General features: G+C 42.8%; 1 protein-coding gene across 4 annotated transcripts in view; it reads right to left on the bottom strand.

Moving 5' to 3' along the window:
• The window catches only part of SNTB2 (syntrophin beta 2), a 121,889-nt gene extending 102,148 nt beyond the window's left edge, over positions 1-19,741 (bottom strand). For 3 of the 4 annotated variants that reach the window (NR_172088.1, NR_172090.1, NM_006750.4), the window contains exon 1: positions 19,159-19,741. Coding sequence is in view for 1 of the 4 variants with exons in the window: in NM_006750.4 (NP_006741.1) it covers positions 19,159-19,738 (580 nt within the window). In the remaining 3 variants the exon portion in view is untranslated. The remainder of the gene's footprint in view (positions 1-19,158) is intronic. The other variant, NR_172089.1, reaches the window with a different exon arrangement.
• Positions 19,742-21,207: the final 1,466 nt, after the last annotated feature.

Here is a 21,207-nt window from a genome sequence, read left to right as displayed (position 1 = left end):
AGTCCCAGCTACCAGGGATGCTGAGGCAGGAGAATCACTTGAACCTGGGAGGTGGAGGTTGCAGTGAGCTGAGATTGCGCCACTGCACTCCAGCCTGGGCAACAAGAGCAAAACTCTGTCTCAAAAAAAATAAGTATATAAAAATAAAAATGCAGCCAATTCCTTATTAACAAAGGCTTATAGAAGATATTTTCTTTTTTTTTTTTTCTTTCTGAGATGGAGTTTTGCTCTTGTTGCCCAGGCTGGAGTGCAATGGAGTGATCTTGGCTCACAGCAACCTCCACCTTCCAGGTTCAAGCGATTCTCCTGCCTCAGCTTCCTGAGTAGCTGGGATTACAGGCATGCACCACCACGCCCGGCTAATTTTGTATTTTTAGTAGAGATAGGGTTTCTCCATGTTGGTCAGGCTGGTCTCGAACTCCCGATCCACCCACCTTGGCCTCCCAAAGTGCTGGGATTACAGGCGTGAGCCACCGCGCCTGGCCTAGAAAATATTTTCTTGTAGGGAAATTAGAGACTAATTACCCACATCTTGATCAAATAGTATATCTACTGGAGAGAAGAGTAATAATGATCGCTAAACAAAAAGCTAAAAGGTAGAAGGAGGCAGGGAACAGTGACTCATGCCTGTAATTCCAGCTCCTTGGGAGGCTGAGGCAGAAGGATCACTTGAGCCCAAGAGTTCGAGACCACCCTAGGCAACATAGTGAGAACCCTGTCTCTACTAAAAAAACTTTTTTTAATTAGCCAAGTGGTGGCACGCTCCTGTAATTCTCGTTTCTTGGGAGGCTAAGGCGGGAAAATCTCCTGAGCCCAGGAGTTAGAGGATGCTGTGAGCTATGATCGCACCACTGCACTCCAGCCAGGGTAGACAGAGCAAGGCCCAGCCTTGCCTTTGACAACAACAACAAAAAAGTGGGAGCAAAGAGTTCCTACATTCCCATCACTTCCTAACAAGCACATAGCTGAGTATAGGACCTCAATGGAAAGGATTTCATGAACGTACAGTGGGTTATTTTTAATAATACATTGGTTGCATTTAAGTATTTTTAAGAAGCATTATTAGAAACTTCTGTTTTATTTCAGGAAAAGTTATCTATTCCACCTTTTCCTCTTTCAAATCCATCTAAAGTTACCAGAACCTTAGACTTCTTTGTCTGGGATCACTAGGGGGCCATATGTGAGAAATATGAAAGAAGCAGGTTGGAAATGCCTAATGAAGGAAAGAGAAAATGGGAAAGAAAATAGAAGAAAAAGCCATTATGTCATGCCCACTAAACAGGATGCCAGAACACAAATCCAGGGATCAATGGACAAGAGAGGGAAGGAAAGAAACTAAAACTGAAGACCTTTATTCTTGCCTTACAAGGGGCCACAAGAGGTATCTGTTAAATATGAATTCTGTTGGGCTGGGCAAGGTGGCTCACACCTGTAATCCCAGCATTTTGGGAGGCTGAGGTGGGCGAATCACAAGGTCAAGAGTTTGAGACCAGCCTGGCCAACGTGGTGAAACCCCGTCTCTACTGCACAATGTGCACATGTACCCTAAAACTTAGAGTATAATTAAAAAAAAAAAAAAAAAAAAAAATTTGCCAAGCGTGGTGGCGCGTGCCTGTAGTCCTAGCTACTTGGAAGGCTGAGGCAGGAGAATTGCTTGAACCCAGGAGGTGGTGGTTGCAGTAAGCTGAGATCGCACCACTGCACTCCAGCCTGGGTGACAGAGCAAGTCTCAAAAAAAAAAAAAAAGAATTCTGTTAACAAAGTATTTCCCAGGATGAAATTGAGGGCAACTGTACACAAAGTACACAACATTTCCTCCCTTAAAGTCTAGGGAAGTAAATTGGGTCATGTGTATGAGGACTCTTGTTTGCTAAGGAGTTCTACTCTGCATACACAGCCAACTTAAAATATAACATTAGGGAAACAAAGATCATCAGTATAAAAATACTATGGTCATATGCAATGCACACAGCAGTAACATTACTGAAACTCTTGAATAAATAGTTTTCATTTTCACTTCCATGAGTGCATTCACCAGTGGTTAAACTAGCAATTTCATTTAAGTAGAAAAGTAATTTGATGCCAAGAAAGATGTGGCAAACTGGAGTGGAAAAATACTCATGTAGGCCACAGACTATGCAATTGGGATAGATGGTACTGAAGGGGCAAATGCTGCAGATTTCCATACACTGGCAGATCAACTGAAAATATCTTGCTTCCATTTAAAACTCAATGTTCTTAGTATGTTTTAGTTTTCCCAGAGCTTAAACTCCACAGTCAATTCATTTAGGTTGTGGAAATTAACTTGAGATCTTTTCTTTCCACAAAGCAAAATTAATGAATCATCTGTCCTTGTGAAAAATTTGTGATTCTGAAAGAATTTAAAATTCATGTTGGGAAAGGCCTGAGGTACTGTATTTAAAAGGGATTGTGGCAAAGCCTGACTTCTTAATAACTACTGTCTCAACATGTTTTTCTTTTGAGGAGCAATAATATTCCATATATGGAATAAGACCTGATGGCACACAACCCAAAGATTCTGGTGCCCAGTGGGAGACTTCTGGTGCTTCTAGCAAGCCTATGGAAGCAACTGCAGCTGAGCAGCAGTGCTGTTCACTTCTGCTTCCTCATACTACAAGTGAAGAAGAGTACTCACCAGTCTTTAGCTGATCAGACAATATTAAGAGGAAGTTCTCAATAAATAATAGATTCTGGCCAGGCACAGTAGCTCACGCCTGTAATCCCAGCATTTGGGAAACTGAGGCTGGTGGATCGCTTGAGGTCAGAAGTTCGAGACCAGCCTGGCCAACATGGTGAAACTCCGGCTCCACTAAAAATACAAAAATTAGCCAGGCGTGGTGGCGGGTGCCTGTAATTCCAGCTCCTTGGGAGGCTGAGGCAGGAGAATTGCTTGAACCTGGGAGGTGGAGGTTGCAGTAAGCCGGGATCGCGCCACTACGCTCCAGCCTGGGCGACAGAGCAATACTCCATCTCAGAAATAATAATAATAATTGGGAGGCTGAGGCAGGAGAACGCTTGAACCTGGGAGGCGGAGGTTGCAGTGAGCTGAGATCGTGCCATTGCACTCCAGCCTGGGCAAGAAGAGTGAAACTCCGCCTCAAAAATAAGAATTATTATTATTATTAATAAACAAGCAATGGATTCCCACTGCAATAAAAAAGGGAAAGGGAGGGTTTATGGAAACTGTTTTAAATGGAAAAGAAAGGCAAAAATCCAAAGGTTAATACTATCTGTAAAAATTCCAGAACCACACACAGTGGCTCAGTCTGTAATCCCAGCACTTTGGGAGGCTTAGGTAGGAGGATCACTTGAGGCCAGAAATTCAAGGCAAGCCTGGGCAACAGAGCAATATCCTGTCTCTGCAAAACAATTAAAAAATTAGCCAGGCATGGTGACATGTACCACTAATTCCAGCTACTCGAGAGGCTAAGGCAGGAGGATTGCTTAAGGTCAGGAGGTCAAAACTAGTTACAGTGAGCTATAATCATGCCAGTGCACTCCAGCCCAGGAGACAGAGTGAGACCCTGTCTCTTAAAATAAACAAAACAAAACAACAATAACAAAAACGCTGGGCGCAGTGGCTCACGCCTGTAATCCCAGCACTTTGGGAGGCTGAGGTGGGCAGATCACCTGAGGTCAGGAGTTCGAGACCAGCCTAGCCAACACGGCAAAACCCCATTTCTACTAAAAGTACAAAAATTAGCCAGGCGTGGTGGTGGGCGCCTGTAATCCCAGCTACTAGGAGGCTGAGGCAGGAGAATTGCTTGAATCCGGGAGATGGAGGTTGCAGTGAGCTGAGATCGCGCCCCTGAGCTCTAGCCTGGGCAACAAGAGCGAGACTCTGTCTCAAAAAAAAAGAAAACAGGCTGTGCACAGTGGCTCACACCTTTAATCCTAGAACTTTGGGAGGCTAAGGTAGGAGGATCAGTTAAGGCCAGGAGTTCAAGATGAGCCTGGGAAACATGGCAAAACCCTGTATCTACAAAAAATACAAAATTTATCAGATGTGGCCAGGCGTGCTGGGTCACGCCTATAATCCCAATACTTTGGGAGGCTGAGGCGGGCAGATCACTTGAGGCCAGGAGGTCGAGACCAGCCTGGCCAACATGGCGAAACCCCATCTCTACTAAAAATACAAAAATTAGCCAGGCGTGGTGGCACATGCCTGTAGTCTCAGCTACCTGGGAGGCTGAAGCACGAGAATTGCTTGAACCCGGGAGGCAGAGGTTGCAGTGAACCAAGATCATGCCACTGCACTCCAGCCTGGGAGACAGAGCGAGACGTCGTCTCAAAAAAATAAAAAATAAAAAAAAAATTACTGAATGTGGTAGTGTGTGTCTGTAATCCCAGCTACTCAGGAGGCTGAGGTGGGAGGATCACCTGAGCCTGGGAGATGGAGGCTGCAGTAAGATATGATCATGCCACTGCATTCCAGCCTGGGTAACAGAGTGAAACCCTATCTCAAAAAAGAAAAAAAAAAATTCTAACAGTTCATAAAGTTCACAGCCTACATTTAGTATGAATAGTAACTACCATACTATTTTCCATTATAAACTAAGAATGTATGTTTGTTCAAAGTAATGCCTACTAACTAGGGACATGTGAGGAGTTACTCCTTGTTTTCTTTATAAGCCTTAAGATGAAAGTTAGGAAGCACATGAACAATGAGAAAGCCTCCAAGTCAGAGAACAGAGGAGACAGGGCCAGAAACTCTAGCCCCTTCATTAAACAGTAAGTGACTGCAAAGAAGTTTGCCTCAGTCACGGTTAAATGTGAAGGGATAACTGAAAGGCTGGGGACAAAAAGGTACAGCTAAACATCACAGACACTCAGGTAATGGCTGAAATTATAGGTGCAGATGAGCTAAACATCAGGTGTAAACAAGGAGAATGAGTCAGGGCCCTATCAGCTTGTGTTGCTTCACTGGTCTGCTCCTAAACTAAGCAGCATTCGTTTCTCCAGACATGCAGACTGATATCCTGAAGCAATTTTCCATCCAGGTATGAAGCACAGAAGAAGAGGACAATTAACAATTTTAGAGGCACTCAAAAAAAATAATAATAATACTATTGAATTCTCATGTTTTAACCAAACTCAAAATTATTACCCTCCAAATACGAAATCTAAAATAACTATTCAAACTCTTTTTTCTGACAATCTGAGAATAATTTCTCAAACATTTTTGGTTTTTTGGTTTGCTCTGGGCTTTTTGTTTTGTTTTCTGAGAAGTATTGTTGACAATAATCTAACAAAATTAACATTCCTTTCAGCTGTACACTGTATCCAAACCTGGCTAACACCCAATGATTTAGCAACGTTACCCACCCTCAATTTTAAACACACATCTCTTTCATAAAGAATTTTAGATTTCTTCAAATGGATAAAATACCTTACTAAGCAGTATTAAAGGATTTTATGTCCCCGCCTCCCTAATCCTTTCCATTTTGCTATGTTTTTTCCTATTCAGCACCACATCAACATCACATAAATAAGTTGGCCTGCTGCTTTAAATACAGATCTACATTTAAGAGAGTTTTACAAGTTATAAGATGGCAACTTTTTGGCTTAGTGCATTCTCTCCCATTTATTGGTGTTAATGAGGAGTCCTTCTAGTTCAGTGACATTAATACTATTTCAATGCTAGCAATATACAAGGTGCTTAAATAAAAGGTAAAGAAGCCATCAAAATCCATTAAATAAGCATCTGTTCACATGTAATATTTATTATTTCAGGTGGTAACTTTTAAGCCAGGATGCTGTTTTCCTATGGCTTTCCTGAATGTTCTGCTTTCAAACCAGGCCCCTGGAGGCCCTGAAAGTGTGATGAGGAGTAATTATTTTAAAAAGCAGAGAAATGACTCGATTTGTCTGAGTTTTCAGTGACATATAAACGAATTGGCTGCAGCAACTCGGTAAAGTGTTTGGTAAAAGTTACAGAGCAGTCTTCTGCCATTACCCCACAAGAAGAAAATAATGAGGATCTCTCAACTTTATCAGTCAGGTGAGGGTAAAGTAAAAGCAAACAAAAATAGAGTCAATATACAAACATTACTTCAAGATGGATCACAGGGCCAGACTCGGTGGCTCACACCTGTAATCCCAGAAATTTGGGAAGCCAAGGCTGGAGGATGACTTGAGCTTAGGAGTTCAAGACCAGCCTGGACATTGTAGCAAGACCCCCATCTCTATTTAAAAACAAAACAAAAATAAAATAAATAAACGAAACAAAACATAGTACAATATAATGAAAACTCATGTACTCAATTTTATCACTGTTAACATTCTCAGTTTCACTAACAAAAAACCCCCATGAACCTCTCCTTGACGCCATTTATCTTCCTCCTGCTCTAGCAGTTATATCCTAAATTTGATGTATCACGAATGTGTTGTTTTTCTTGTATTTCAACCCATGGGCCTGAAAAATAAAGCATATTCCAAAAGCATTCATACCTGTAATCTGATGTGTATTCCACCCTTCTAGTGGAAGGATGGTACAGTCTGGAGGAGTAGAATGCCTGACAGAAAAATAATTTCATACTAGCGTGCTGATGCTAAGAAATAGGTATTACATTTCTGTAAAAGAAATTGATTCCCCATTTTGTCAAAATACGCCTAATATCTAAATTCCTAAACTCACTGTAAGCAAATGTGCTTGACAACAATGGCCAACACAAATAAGTATATTTATGTTAAAAATGTCCCCCTCCTTTGGGAGGCCGAGGCAGGCGGATCACGAGGTCAGGAGATTGAGACCATCCTGGCTAACACGGTGAAACCCCATCTCTACTAAAAATACAAAAAATTAGCTGGGTGTGGTGGCACGCATCTGTAGTCCTAGCTACTCAAGAGGCTGCGGCAGGAGAATCGCTTGAACCCGGGAGATGGAGGTTGCGGTGAGCTGAGATCGTGCCACTGCACTCCAGCCTGGGCGACAGAGGGAGATTCTGTCTCAAAAAAAAAAAGTCTCTGTCTTCCCAGTAATAGCATGGATCTAAAATAAAACATTTTTTAAAAGTCCCCCTTTCTCCTGATTTTTCACACTAAAAAGTGGAAGGAATTATTTGGCATCTAAGTCTTAAACTTTGGCCTTTTTTTTCAATTTTCATTAAGATTGCAAATCTTCATTATGAGAGTCTTGCCCATTCACTAAAGAACAAATGAAGACACCTCAAGGTACACAATAATCAGTGACAAAATTAACTGCAATCTAGATTGCTCAATATTTCTCTCTTTGCTAAGTGATTCATCTGCGCTTAAGAGAAAAAGATCGCCTTTTTTTTTTTTTTTTGAGGCAGTGTTTCACTCTGTTGTCCAGACCTGGAGTGCAGTGGTGCAATCATGGCTCACCAAAGCGTCCACCTCCCAGGCTCAAGTGATCCTCCCACCTCAACCTCCCAACTAGCTGGGACTACAGGCGTGAGCCACTGCGCCAGGCCAACATCGCTTTAATTAATGCTGCCTGTGTAGATTTGAAGGCGATTAGCTGCTAGTTAAAATGAAAGGTGGAAGAGCAAAAGCCGATTTATCTGCAAATCTACAACATAAAATATTTTATCTGGCACTTCACATCTTTAGCACAACAAATGAAGCTCACAATAAGGTATTGTAAATCTTGAGGTTCCATCTGAATCATCAAACTAAGATTCAATTATAGCTAAAATATTTTTAGTGTTAAAAATCATTATTATAGGCCAGGCGTGGTGGCTCACGCCTGTAATCCCAGCACTTTGGCAGGCTAAGGCGGGTGAATCACCTGAAGTCAGGAGTTCAAGACCTACCTAACCAACACGGAGAAACCCATCTCTACTAAAAATACAAAATTAGCTGGACATGGTGGCGTGCGCCTGTAATCCCAGCTACTCGGGAGGCTGAGGCAGGAGAATCACTTGAGCCTGGGAGGCAGAGGTTGCAGTGAGCCGAGATCGTGCCATTGCACTCCAGCCCGAGCAACAAGAGTGAAACTGTCTCAAAAAAAAAAAAAAAAAAACATTATTATATTCTAAATCTCTGACAATCCATGCATTTGCGTACAGTCAGTTCATATTAACTCTTCATTCTCTATTTCATATTTAGAATTGTAAAATATGAGCTGGAAGGGATCTTATTTTTAATAGGTAAGAAACATACTGCTTATAATGCTGAAATTATTTTTTGCCAAGGTCACACAAAGTTAACAGCCATCCGAAATGTTTTGCTGTATTTTTTCCCAAGAAAAATCAGGTAATTTTTGTAACTACATCCAGATGTTTGGAGATGTCTTAACAATCTCAAAGATTTCTTTTCAGACCCAAGCACAGAAGAAGTAGGAGAGGATATGAGAAATAAAGAGAATAATGGGAGGAAACATGTAAGTGGTAGAGGAATAAGAATGGACTACATCTTCCTACCAACCACACACAAACTCCTTAAAGAGAAGCAGAGGCAGAACGTGCAATGAAGACATTTCTCTTGTCAAAAATACACATGTGAAAAATAGGCCAGGCATGAGGACTCACATCTGTAATCCCAGCACTTTGGGAGGCCGAGGCTGGTGGATTGCCTGAGCTCAAGAGTTCAAGACCAGCCTGGGCGACATGGCGAAACCCTGTCTTACCAAAAGTACAAAAAACTAGCTGGGCGTGGTGGTGTAGGACTGTAGTCCCAGCTACTCAGGAGGCTGAGGCAGGAGAATCGCTTGAACCCGCGAGGTGGAGGTTGCAGTGAGCTGAGATTGCCACTGCACTCCAGCCTAGGCGACAGAGCGAGGCTCTGTTCCCCTACCCCCCAAAAAAAAAAAAAAAAAAAATCAACTCTGTTACATTGTAAAGGACAACAGAGATCAATATCAAAACATCTCTGGTGAAGAATGGTTTCCAGAATTCACTTTAGTCTTTCATTGCTGTTTTTAGCAGAATTTGTATTTGCCCAGAGCCAGTTTAATTTTTTCAATTACTTTGTGTTCATTGTAAAAAATATGTATTTTTATCCTAGAATGTAATTAATAATCTTTGAAGAGACAATACAGAATCCATAGTACTCAAAAAAATTATCTACACTACTAGTGGTTTTCTAAAATGTTGCCATCCCTTACTGCAATGAAAACAGAGCTAACAATGTAAATACTTTTACTGGCCAACAATTACAGCAAAATGAGGCAAATCAAAGACATTTAGTGTTCAGTAAAACAGATTTTGTTTCATTTGGGCAAAGATTTACTTGTAAAGATGAATATACTTTGGAGAATGCTACTTTGTTAAAACTGGTGTTTTCCAAAAGTAAAATAACATAGTAATATATCAAAAGTAAAAGCAGTAACAAAAAAGTTTGGCTAGAATAATTACAAAAGAAAAATTAATTTTTACATTACAAAACAGTTTGCAGATAATGAATACAATTATTACAAGATATTTCAGAAGTCAGTTATATTACTAATAAAATATTTAAACTATTTTTAAAAAGGGGTACAGAGCCTTGAAAATGGGCTATTTCATCAAATCTGTTTGCTGAAGTTTGAACATCACTGCTTGTTCCAGTCTTTGCTCTCTAGACATGCCTTTCCCCTCTAAACATGCCCTCCATCCTTCCCACCACCCACACCTATTCCATGTCCCACCCTTCTCTCACTTGACCCAAAATACATTCCTACTACTTGCTCACTTATTCCAAGTTCTCTCAGCATTTGTCTACCACTTATAATGTATGAAATACTTTGGATTCACTTATGTGCAGTTTATTAGTATTTACAAACCCATTTTGGGTACTTCTTAAAAGTAAAATCTTTGGGGCTTACATATTCTATTTCTCTCAGAGTGTCTAACAGAGTGTAGTTATTCAATATGAGTTGATTAATTACATACAGCTTTAGGTCCAGCATGAAAAAAAAAAATGAGGAAAAGACTGAGAGACATTAACTGGATAACCTCCAGATAGATGCAACAACACAGAATCCAAAGCACAATTTTCCTGAAAATTAAGCCAATCATAACAATAAATCCTGTCTTTAGACTTGCTAGCTTCTTAACCCAAACTGATCCACCAGAGAGGCAGTCTATTATAATGGTTAATATCAAAGGCTGTGTAGTTTGATAAATCTGAGTAACTAATCTTGCCTCTATCACCTACAAATTCTATAACCTTGCACTGACTGTTTAATCTTCCAGGACTCAATTTATTTATATTTTATATGGGGATGATGCCACCTGACTCACAGGGCTGTTAAAAGAATAAGTTGTGGCCAGGTGCGGTGGCTCACGCCTGTAATCCCAGGACTTTGGGAGGCCAAGGTGGGCAGATCACAAGGTCAGGAGTTCGAGACCAGCCTGACCAATATGGTGAAACTCCATCTCTACTAAAAATACAAAAATTAGCCGGGCATGGTAGCGCGTGTCTGTAATCCCAGCTACTCAGGAGGCTGAGGCAGGAGAATCGCTTGAACCCAGGAGGCAGAGGTTGCAGTGAGCCGAGATCACACCACTACACTCCAGCCTGGGTGACAGGGCCAAACCCCATCTCAAAAAAAAAAAAAAAAGAAAAAGAAAAGAAAAACAAAGTTGTGATCATAAAGAGCTTAGCAGAGTAAGCTCTCCATAAGTGTCATTATTATCTATTTTGATTCCTTTTGTTTTTAAAAATGTACAACTTAGCCACTTTTGTTTTTTCTCTTTTTGAGACAGGGTCTTGCTCCATTGCCCAAGCTGGAGTATAGTGGCTCAAACATGGCTCACTGCAGCCTCAATCTCCCGAGCTCAAGTGATCCTCCCACCTCAGCCTCCCAAGTAGCTGGGACCACAGGCACTCGCCACCTCACCTGGCTAATTTTTTACATGTTTTGTAGAGACAGGGTCTCGCCATGTTGTGCAGGCTGGTCTTGAACTACTAGGCTGAAGTGATTCCACCTGGACCTCCCAAAGTGCTGGGATTACAGGTGTGAGCCAACATGCCCGGCCAAAATTATTTTAAGCCCTATAGCCTGTTATAGTGTACATAAGTTAACCTAGCAACCACCCCACTCCAGATTTTATAGTCTGGTGAGGCTGCCAACCTCAATACACAAGGGATGGGCACGTGACACAGGTCTAGATTGCAGTCTCCATCATTTTGGTAATAGTGATAGGTCCGAGGAACTGGCAAAGCAGAACTATTGGAGTCCTTCCTATCTCCAAACTGATAATGTGAGTGGTAAAAGAACCCTCCAGTTTTTCTTACAGGGGTTAGTTATTAAGTTAAGGCAATATGTTCCTAGAGCTGCAGGCACCATCTTAGCTGACTATACAGAATTAGACCCTCCACAGCAGGAGATGTTGCAGCCAAGATAATTTGAGCCTTTGGATCCCACTGAACCTAAACCTAGATCCACCCCCGGTCTCAGGAGTTACATAAGGCAATACATTCCACTTCTGCTTAAATTAGTTGGTTTTGGGTTTCTGCAACCAAAATAATTCTTACTAAAAAAAAAAAAAAATGCAAACCAGGAACAGTAATTAGTTCATGCCTGTAATCCCAACTACTCCAGAGGTTAAGGCAAGAGGATCACCTGAGCCCAAGAGTTCAGGGCTGCAGTAAGCAATGATCATGCCATTGTACTCCAACCTGGGCAACAGAGTGAAACCCTGTCTCTAAAAAAAAATAATAACAACAAATAGATACTTTTTAAAAATTAAAAATAAATCATATACGTCTATTTTGATAAACAAAGATTTTTCTCCGTCTCTGACTTCAAAAGCTGCCCCTGAGCTCTATATACTTTTGTTGAGCTCTATATACTTTTGTTGTTCTACCTATAAAAATATGATCTCAATGCAGTTACAAACTTGCTTGAAATTCATAGAAATGTGATGTTCAAAATACCAATAAAATACTGAAAATAATTTATTATTCACTTGACATGTCAAGCATTTTTTAAAAGCTCCAACAAGCTCACCTGTACCTAAGCAAATTTATTATTCTGACTTTTGTTTTACAGCTGTCTATAATGTTTCTAAATCTCTTAATATGGTGGTTTCTCCTTTAATCTATATTATCTTCTGATGGTTTTAGAGCAATGTAATGAATGTCTGCTATTTATGCCTGCCTAGCATCCATTCCCCCTTCTTCTGTTAACATCACCTTAATTCTCCTTTGAGAAACCCCCACTTTCAGTCCATGTGGTTCTAGGAAAATTGCCCCATTCCCTGGGTACAGGTCTGAGGTGACCTGATATAGGCCTGGCCAAATAGAACATCTGGTACCCCTCAGCCACATGATTGGAACATGGATGAGTAAGGCCCAGTATTTTTGGCTGGAATGACTGGGAAAGAGATATTACAAAGACATCAGTTCTCTCCAAATTAATTTATGGATTTAATATAATTTTAATCAAAATCCCAGAGGATTTAAGAATGATAAAATCATTCCAAAATTTATCTGGGGAAATAAGTAACTATACTATACCAGCCGGCAATTGTCTATTGTTACTTTTCAAATTTTTCTTGGCTGGTACAGTCCACTTGAATTACCAGATATTAAATGTTACAGCTACAAAATACAGTGTGGTATGTTACAAAACACTAAAATGGAATACAATAGAAACTCCAGAATCAGAGCAGAGAATATAAAAAGTGCTATTCAAAAAGGTATATTTAAAATCAATGAGAAAAGGACAGGTCATCTCATCCCAAGAGGGGCAGATGTATAGCATGCATATTGCACCCCATCCTCAGGCACACTCATTGCAGATATCACTAATTAAGCATAGCACTTGCTACTGCTGAACCCAGATATGGCCTTGAATCCTTCCACATATGGCACTCTAGGCAGCCACCAGCAAGCTATCAGACTAAGCATGCAAGAGGATTATTTGACAAATAATACTGAGGCAATCAGTTAACTATTTGGAAAAACAAATAAAGTTAAACCTCTACTGCATACCATATGCCAAAATAAATTCTACATAGATTAAGAAGTTAAATGTAAGAATTGAAACCATAAAAGGACTAGAATAAAGCTGTTGCAAAAGACATTCTCAGAGAGAAACAGAGAAACTGCAATGACAAGAAATGGGAGACAGAGCAACTGTCCTCAGCACTGCCTTGGGTTTGTGACATTTCTGAGGCGCAGCTCTTCCTGAAGTCCCGAGACCTGTCTGGTTCTTTATAACATCTCCATCCTTTTATCTGAACTAGTTTAAATGGGTTTCTGTGTTTTGAAACCCAAAGAGCCTTGAATAAGGCATGTGCATTTTCTTTCTTTTTTAAAATTTTTGTTAGTTGATCAATTCATCTTACCATAAATAAGTCTGGGCTGGACATGGTGGCTCACACCTGTAATCCCAGCACTTTGGGAGGCCGAGGCAGGCGGATCACCTGAGGTCAGGAGTTTGAGACCAGCCTGGCCAACATGGAGAAACCCTGTCTCTACTAAAAATACAAAAATTAGCCAGGCACGGTGGCACACACCAGTAATCCAAGCTACTTGGGAGGCCGAGGCAGGAGAATTTCTTGAACCCAGGAGGCGGAGGTTGCAGTGAGCCGAGATGGTGCCTCTGCACTCCAGCCTGAGCAACAGAGCAAGACACTGTCTCAAAAAAAAAAAAAAAAAAAAAAAAAAAAGTCTATACCATCTGAGTCTCTTTCAATGAAAAATTAAAGCTTCCAATTTTTCTAAGTGTAAGGTGTAACTTTTTTTTTTTTCATTTTTAAAATACAGATGGGGTCTCACTAGGTTGACCAGGATGATCTTGAACTCCTGGCCTCAAGTGATCCTACTGCCTCTGCCTTCCAAAGTGCTGAGATTACAGGAATGACCAACCACACCTGCCTAGGTGTAACATTTTACATGCATGACAGATTAAATTCAAAAATACACTGCTCAACTTTCTCATCTATTTCATTAAGTTTACTTTCCATAACACATTCAAGATAACTTACAAATTTTAAAGCAAGAGGGTCCGAACACAGCAAAAAGAAAAATGTAGAAAAACCAAAGCAAAAAGAAAATTGCATTTCACATATTCTCAACTAATTATAGCATTCTAGCAATGTCTTGGGGGTCAGAAATAAAGCCAAGTTTGAATTTTATATTTCTTTTATTATTTTAAAAGGCAAATCTATGACACCATAATCACTAGCACTTTGTTCATATATAAAATTATTTCACGAGTTTTGTTTTTACACTAAAATCTAACACAAATTTTATTAAGGAATCAGTGCATTTTCCTCAGAAAGACACTTAAATAAAGTAACCAAATCAATTGTATTTCTCCAGGCACAAAATATTAAACATAACTGACCATACCATCATTTCTCCAAAGGAATTCAAAAGCTCTTTTCTCTAATCTAGAAAAAAGAACCTTTAAAGGAAGAATATGTTCTCATTCCATGTGACCAGATACAGTATACTGTTTATAAACTAAAATTTTTCTTCGCAAACCCCAGAGACAGCAGACAGTTACATGGCTTAAGTGCTTTACAACAAAGCTGAACAGTATGAGGGTAACACTCTCCAAATTATTTCACTTTTCCACTGATAAACTCACTGCAGAAGATTCTCTGTAAGTATCAAATTTTTGGATGCACAGGCAGTTGGAAGGAGACTATCTAGGTAGGAAAAACTTCTCAGTGGACTCTGCTATGTCCCCTGACAAGCATCAACTGCTTTAAAGTATCTCTTGAATTGAATCCTCCTCTCTATTCCCACTGCCACTACCACCACCGGCTCCAAAGGTGATCACCTCTGGCTTGGATTACTTTTCACTACAACAGCTGCTGTTTTTCCCACCTTCGGTCTTTCCTCTTTGCACTGCATCCAGTGCTTCCACTGCTGCCAACCCAAAATTCTGTTCCCATCACATCACTTCCTGGATCAAAAATGAATTGCATCAGTTTCCCACCTCTTCTATCTCTTCAACCTCTCACTCTTTCTGTTGGTTGGGCTTTTCTCTTGCTATACAAATCTGTCCCAATTATTTTCCCATTTAAAACAAAACAAGGCCAGGTGCGGTGGCTCATGCCTGTAATCCCAGCACTTTGGGAGGCTGAGGCAGGCAGATCACGAGGTCAGGAGATTGAGACTATCCTGGCTAACACAGTGAAACCCCATCTCTACTAAAAAATACAAAAAATTGGCCGGGCATGGTGGCGGGCGCCTGTAGTCCCAGCTACTTGGGAGGCTGAGGCAGCAGAATGGCGTGAACCCGGTAGGCGGAGCTTGCAGTGAGCTGAGATCGCACCACTGCACTCCAGCCTGGGCAACAGAGTGAGACTCTGTCTCAAAAACAAAACAAAATAAAAAAACACCAGTAAATAAAACCTTTCTTGGACATTTCATTCAACTTTACTTACTGGCTTTGCTTTTTTTTTTTTTTTTTTTTTGAGACAGGATCTTGCTCTGTTGTCCAGGCTGGAGTACAGTGGCACAATCACCACTGTAGCCTCGACCTCCTGGGCTCAAGAATCCTCCCACCTCAGCCTCTGAGTAGCTGGGACTACAGGTGCATGCCACCACACCCAGCTAATTGTTTTATTTATTTTTTTTTTTGAAGTTTTTGTACAGATAGGGTCTTGCTATGTTGCCCAGGCTTGTCTCGAACTCAGCCTCAAATGATCTTCCTGCTTTGGTCTCCCAAAGTGCTGGATTACAGGCATGAGCCACCACACTTGGTTTTTCTTTTTTTCTCTTTTCTTTTCTTTCTTTCTTTTTTTTTTTTTAAAGCTAGTCAAGTGAAGCAGTGAGAGTGGAGAAGGAACAAATAATCTGTAACTAGTTGTGATCAATTAGTTGTAAACACCACTGCACTCGGACCAGCGCAAACTCATTCTTAACCTAATCACCTAAAATAATTCTTATCATCTATTCTTCTTCAGGTAAAAATGGAGCCCTGGATGTTATTTTAACGACTTGCCATCCTTCCTGTTTTGAGAGTGTCTTTGTTAACTGGTGGCATACCTTCGTGACCCGGTCCTACCTTCCTCATTCAGACCTGTGCTGTTCATTGCTGTATTCCCAGTCCCTTAAAAAGTACTCAACACGTGAATTGCAAAATGAATTAACAACTTTGAGGGAGGTGTTATTATCATCCTGGCTTTACAGATGAGGAAACTAAGGTTTACTTAGCAAGATTAAGTAACTTGCCTAGGGGTTACAAACCACTAGCCAGAAACAAACCCACATCTGACCACAAAGTCCTTGCTTCTACTCTACCCTACTGGCTAGAATAGCTTTTTAATGTCTTGCACTTCTGTGTCTTTACTGGTGGCAGCTCTCTTCTAAAGGGGAAGCTCAATTTAAGCTTCATCAACCTGGGCATCCTCAACCTCTGATTCCCATGATGGACCTATATAGACCTCTGTCTCCTTTGGGTTGTGCAAACTTCTATTAAAACAGCACTTTTAGCCCTCTGCTGTACTTATTTACTTCTCCGTTTCCCCACATCTCAACTCTAAACTTCCTGAGGACAGGAATCAGGTATCTTCAAGTGCCTCTGGCATGAGTTAAGAGTTAAGTAAATATCTGATGAATGAATAAATAACTCCTGCAAATCCCTGAGATAAAAAGGAAACTTTTAACTCAATTCCTTAACCACAGGCAACCAAAGACTATAGCTTTCCCTGGTGTGGGATTGGCAAAAGTGTGCCTGAAATTCCCTGCCCACACCACAAAAAAGCATCACTGTGAGATGATACGGCAGTTTTTCAAGTTTTCAGACATCTAATGGAAGGACAACATGGTACAGCCTGAAAACTTTAAAGACTAAACTTAAAATCTGTCTTTTAAAAGTGGCCTACCTGGATGGGACACCAGCTCTCAATTTTAAATAATGTTTGACTGGTTCAATTAAATCATTGTTTTCAGTGGTTTTACATATTTTGAGTAATTTTATTTTTACACCCAGTGGCTTGAAAATGCAATGTCGTAAATCTACTATATTGACTTCCTCACTACTTATAAGAACAAAAACTGCTTGTCTTGTACAAAGTGGGAAAATAAAGTAGAACCTGCATGTTAGGTAAAAAGGCATTCAATAAACATGTTATTATGCGGCCATCTTTCTAAAAGCACACGTGGCCTATTTTAGCCCAATAAAGACTGGGAAGCATTTACTGCAAGGTTTTCATTTTACTGGTCTGAATACTAGGTTCAAACTATACCTATACAAAAAGTAGGTTGGTTGTTTGTTTTTGAGATGGAGTCTTGCTCTGTCATCCAGGCTGGGCATCCATGCTGGAGTGCAGTGGTGAGATCTTGGCTCACTGCAGCCTCCACCTCTGAGGTTCAAACGATTCCCCTGCCTCAGCCTCCCTAGGAGCTGGGATTACAGGCATCTGCCACCACGCCTGGCTAATTTTCGTATTTTTAGTAGAGACGAGGTTTCGTCATGTTCTCCTGACCTCAGGTGATCTGCCCACCTTGGCCTCCCAAAGTGCTGGGATTATAGGCATGAGCCACCACGCCTGGCCAAAAGGTTTTTTGTGTTTTTTTTCTAAATATGGTGTACAAGGTTCAACTGTCTGCCCATCACAACTGAGGACTACATAAATAGTACTAAATTCAATATTCTGGATGTAAGAATTTATAACCAAATGCTTAGCTAGACCAACTTCAAGGTACACGTTTAGAGTAACAGTTTTTTTTGGACACACACCCAAACCACAATCTATAATTTTACTCCTTCTATTAACACTAATTTCCGAGCAATGTCTAGCCCCACCTAGACATGCAATATAAATAAGGTTTATAAATAGGATATTATAAAGGTGGGACACTGGAACTTCACAACTGGTGTACATGAAATCATTTCTGGTAAATCAGTATTTTTCCAAATATTCACAAGCTGATTTATAAGAAAGTGAAAATCCATTGTGCCAAGTTGGACTTCTGGCCTCTCGGTTTGACGATTGGTCCTTCTTCACCAGCAGCCCCCAGCCCTTCCCTTCTGTCCTTCCTCTGCCAGGAATACCCTCCTGACTCATCCCTGCCTGCCTATGTCCATCACTTCTTGGAGACCTGGCTCAAGATTCAGCTTCGGGAAAAAGTCCTCCCTGGCTAATTCCATCTCCACTAACTATTTTCTAACTTTGCATTCCTTTGGCATTTAAGTATAGTTTCACGACGTAATCACCAACTTCATTCCTTTCCTCCCTATAAGTTGTTTTGCATTTTTCTATCATTTCTCCAACTAGAGACCAAGTAGGGACAGCATCTTCTTTTATATTCTTTTCAACACAGCTAGCCATAATCACCAGTGAAAGAAAGCTGACCGCTCAAAAATTTCTGAAGAAAGCAGCTGACTTTTCGTTTATAATTTACAATACTCTATCACCTCCAACATGCATGAGTCCTTAGAGGAGAGGAATTTTATTTTTGCCTTAGTTCAAATTCATCATGAAAGATCCAACTTACAGATCACATACATATAACTTAACGTAAAGAATAATCCTGGTTATTGAAACCTATCTTGTGATTTGCCATTTCAAGTTTCTTACAAAAACCCCAAGAGTCTTGAAGCAGCGCGCCTGTGAGTGGTAGGAAGCTGGCAGCAGACTTGCAAAAGGGGCAAAACTCTAGTTGGCAGTAAATGTTCAAACACGTGAGCCTCCACTGTTAAACAAGGTTCGTTAACCACACAGACTTGCTGTTTCAGCTTTCTGGCTTCAATGAAATGCTATGATCTCCTTTGGTTATTGTTGAGAGCCAATGATGGGTTAAATTCCCATAAATTAACCAGCGCTTTGGTGGTTTGCCCGAGCATACCGCTGGCATCGGTGAAGATGGACTTTTTTTTTTTTTTAATAGACCCGCCCGCCCCGAGGAGCCAGAGGTGAGTGAGTTAAGCGCCAACCCGGCACTTCTCAGCGGGCAAACGGAGACAGACCCACTCGAGCCGTTCGCTCTCCCTCAAGTTCTTAGTGTCAGCTTATCGGGCCGAGGTGGGGCTTCATAGGCAGCTGCTTTTTACTCAATCTCAGCCGAGTCTTCCCTAGGGGCTGCAAGCCACACTTCGGCGGCTGCCCAACTTTTCCTGCAAGAAGCATCCGTTTTTCCACACTGAAAGCTCCAGAAACCCGGGTTTGGAGAGAGACGGGGAGAGAACCGGCTCGCCCCGCCGGCGGGGCAGGAACAAAGTGAGCTCCCGCGAGCCCAGGCCGCCGCGGCCTGCCCACCCTCCCGCCCGGCCCCGCTCACCCTCCAGCAGCACCTCCTTGCCCGCGCGCTTCAGCGCCTGCACGGCCTGGTCGTGGGTGGCCTGGCGCAGGTCGGTGCCGTTCACCGACAGGATGGCGTCGCCCAGCCGCAGCGCCCGGCTCTGGTCGGCAGCCAGCCCGGGGAAGATCTTGGAGATGAGGATCGGCATCCGGTTCTCGCGGCCGCCCTTGATGCTGATGCCCAGGCCGCCCGCCTCTTGCTTCACCACCCGCACCCGGCGCACGGGCGGCGACGCGCCCGCCTCACCCGCGGGGCCCCGAGGCGGCGCCGGCGGGCTCGGGGGCCCCAGGCCGCGGCTTGGGCTCCCGGGCAGCGAGTCGCCCGCGCCGCCGCCGTTTGGGAGGCCGTTGAAGGCGGCGGCCGCGGGTCCCAGAGCGGGCTCCAGCTCGGCCGCGGCGGCGTCGCCCGTCAGGCTCAGGCTCTCCCCGCTCAGCTCGGCCACCACTCGGACCCAGCGCTCCCTCAGGAGCAGCTCCACCAGCCCCGCTTTGGTGGCCCGCGTCCACACCGCCATGGCCGGCCCCGCTCCAGCCGCCGCAGTCGCCGCAGCTACCCTCATTCCAGTCAGGCAGCCTCGGCGCTTCCCTCTTCCCGCCCGGAGGGGCGGGCCCGGCCCCTCCCCCGCACGATTCATTATTCATGAGGCCACGCCTGCCTCTGGAGGGGCGGGGCCGGCGCAGCCGCTTCCGGGAGGTGCAGAAGTTGTCCGATCACTCGCCTCTCGCCGGACGTGGGCAACCCGAATGCGGTGGGACTGCATTTCTCCTCATCCTTCCATTGGCTCCCCACGGACCCCCCAGAAACTCCTGACCTCTACCGTGCAATTCACGGGAGCTGCCCGGGCACGGAAAGCAAAATCAGCTTGGAGAAACACTTCTCAAGCCTGCAAGACCCGGTGGCACGTTCATTCTTGCATTGATTGGTTCGTACCCTGTGTACTGAGCGCTTAGCCCTGTACTCCGGCTCCTTTTGAGGCCCTGTACTTAAGCTCAATAGTACCAACAACAGCTGAGAGTTTGCGGTCTAGTGGGGAAGGAAAATGCAGAACCAACCAACTAGGTGTGATACTATGTGGTTAAGTGACATGCAGAAGACGTCCCCAGAACAGCATAAAAGGAACATTTGGTTAGGCCTGGGGTCAGCTTCACAGAGGTAACAACGGACGGTGAACAGCTCAAGCAAAGGTCCAACAGCATGATCCAAGCCTTTGTCAATGTTTTGTAATCTCGTTTACTTGCCTGTAATTCAAGAGGGAACCATGTCTTCTTAAACCCTGAAGCCACAATTGGCAGGCCTCAAGGATATTTGCAGAATGATGGTGTCTTAGGGTTCTTCAGAGAAACCAACCAATAGGATATATAGAGATATATAAATTTATTATTATTACAAGGGACTGGCCACGAGATTATGGATGCTGAGAAGTCCCACGATCTGCCATCTGCAAACTGCAGGCCCAGGAAAGTTGGTGGTGCACTTCCAATCCAAGCCCAAAGGCCTGAGACCCAGAATCAGTGGTATAAACCTGAGATTGAAAGTCTGGGCCGGGCGCGGTGGCTCAAGCCTTTAATCCCAGCACTTTGAGAGGCTGAGGTGGGCGGATCACCTGAGGTCACGAGTTTGAGACAAGCCTGACCAACATGGAGAAACCCCATCTCTACTAAAAATACAAAAAATTAGCCGGGCGTGGTGGCACATGCCTGTAATCCCAGCTACTTGGGAGGCTGAGGCAGGAGAATTGCTTGAACCTGGGAGGCAGAGATTGCGGTGAGCTGAGATGGCACCATTGCACTCCAGCCTGGGCAACAAGAGCAAAACTCTGCCTCAAAAAAAAAAAAAAAAAAAGAAAGAAAGAAAGAAAGAAAAAGAAAGTCTGGGCCGGGTGCAGTGGCTTACACCTGTAATCCCAGCACTTTGGGAGGCCAAGGCGGTGGATCACCTGGGGTCAAGAGTTATAGACCAGTCTGGCCAACATGGTGAAACCCCGTCTCTACTAAAAATACAAAAAATTAGCCAGGTGTGGTGGCAGGC

The sequence above is a fragment of the Homo sapiens genome, chromosome 16 (assembly GCF_000001405.40).
Source record: "Homo sapiens chromosome 16, GRCh38.p14 Primary Assembly".
Classification (NCBI taxonomy): domain Eukaryota; kingdom Metazoa; phylum Chordata; class Mammalia; order Primates; family Hominidae; genus Homo; species Homo sapiens.
This window is presented reverse-complemented; position numbering and strand designations above follow the sequence as displayed.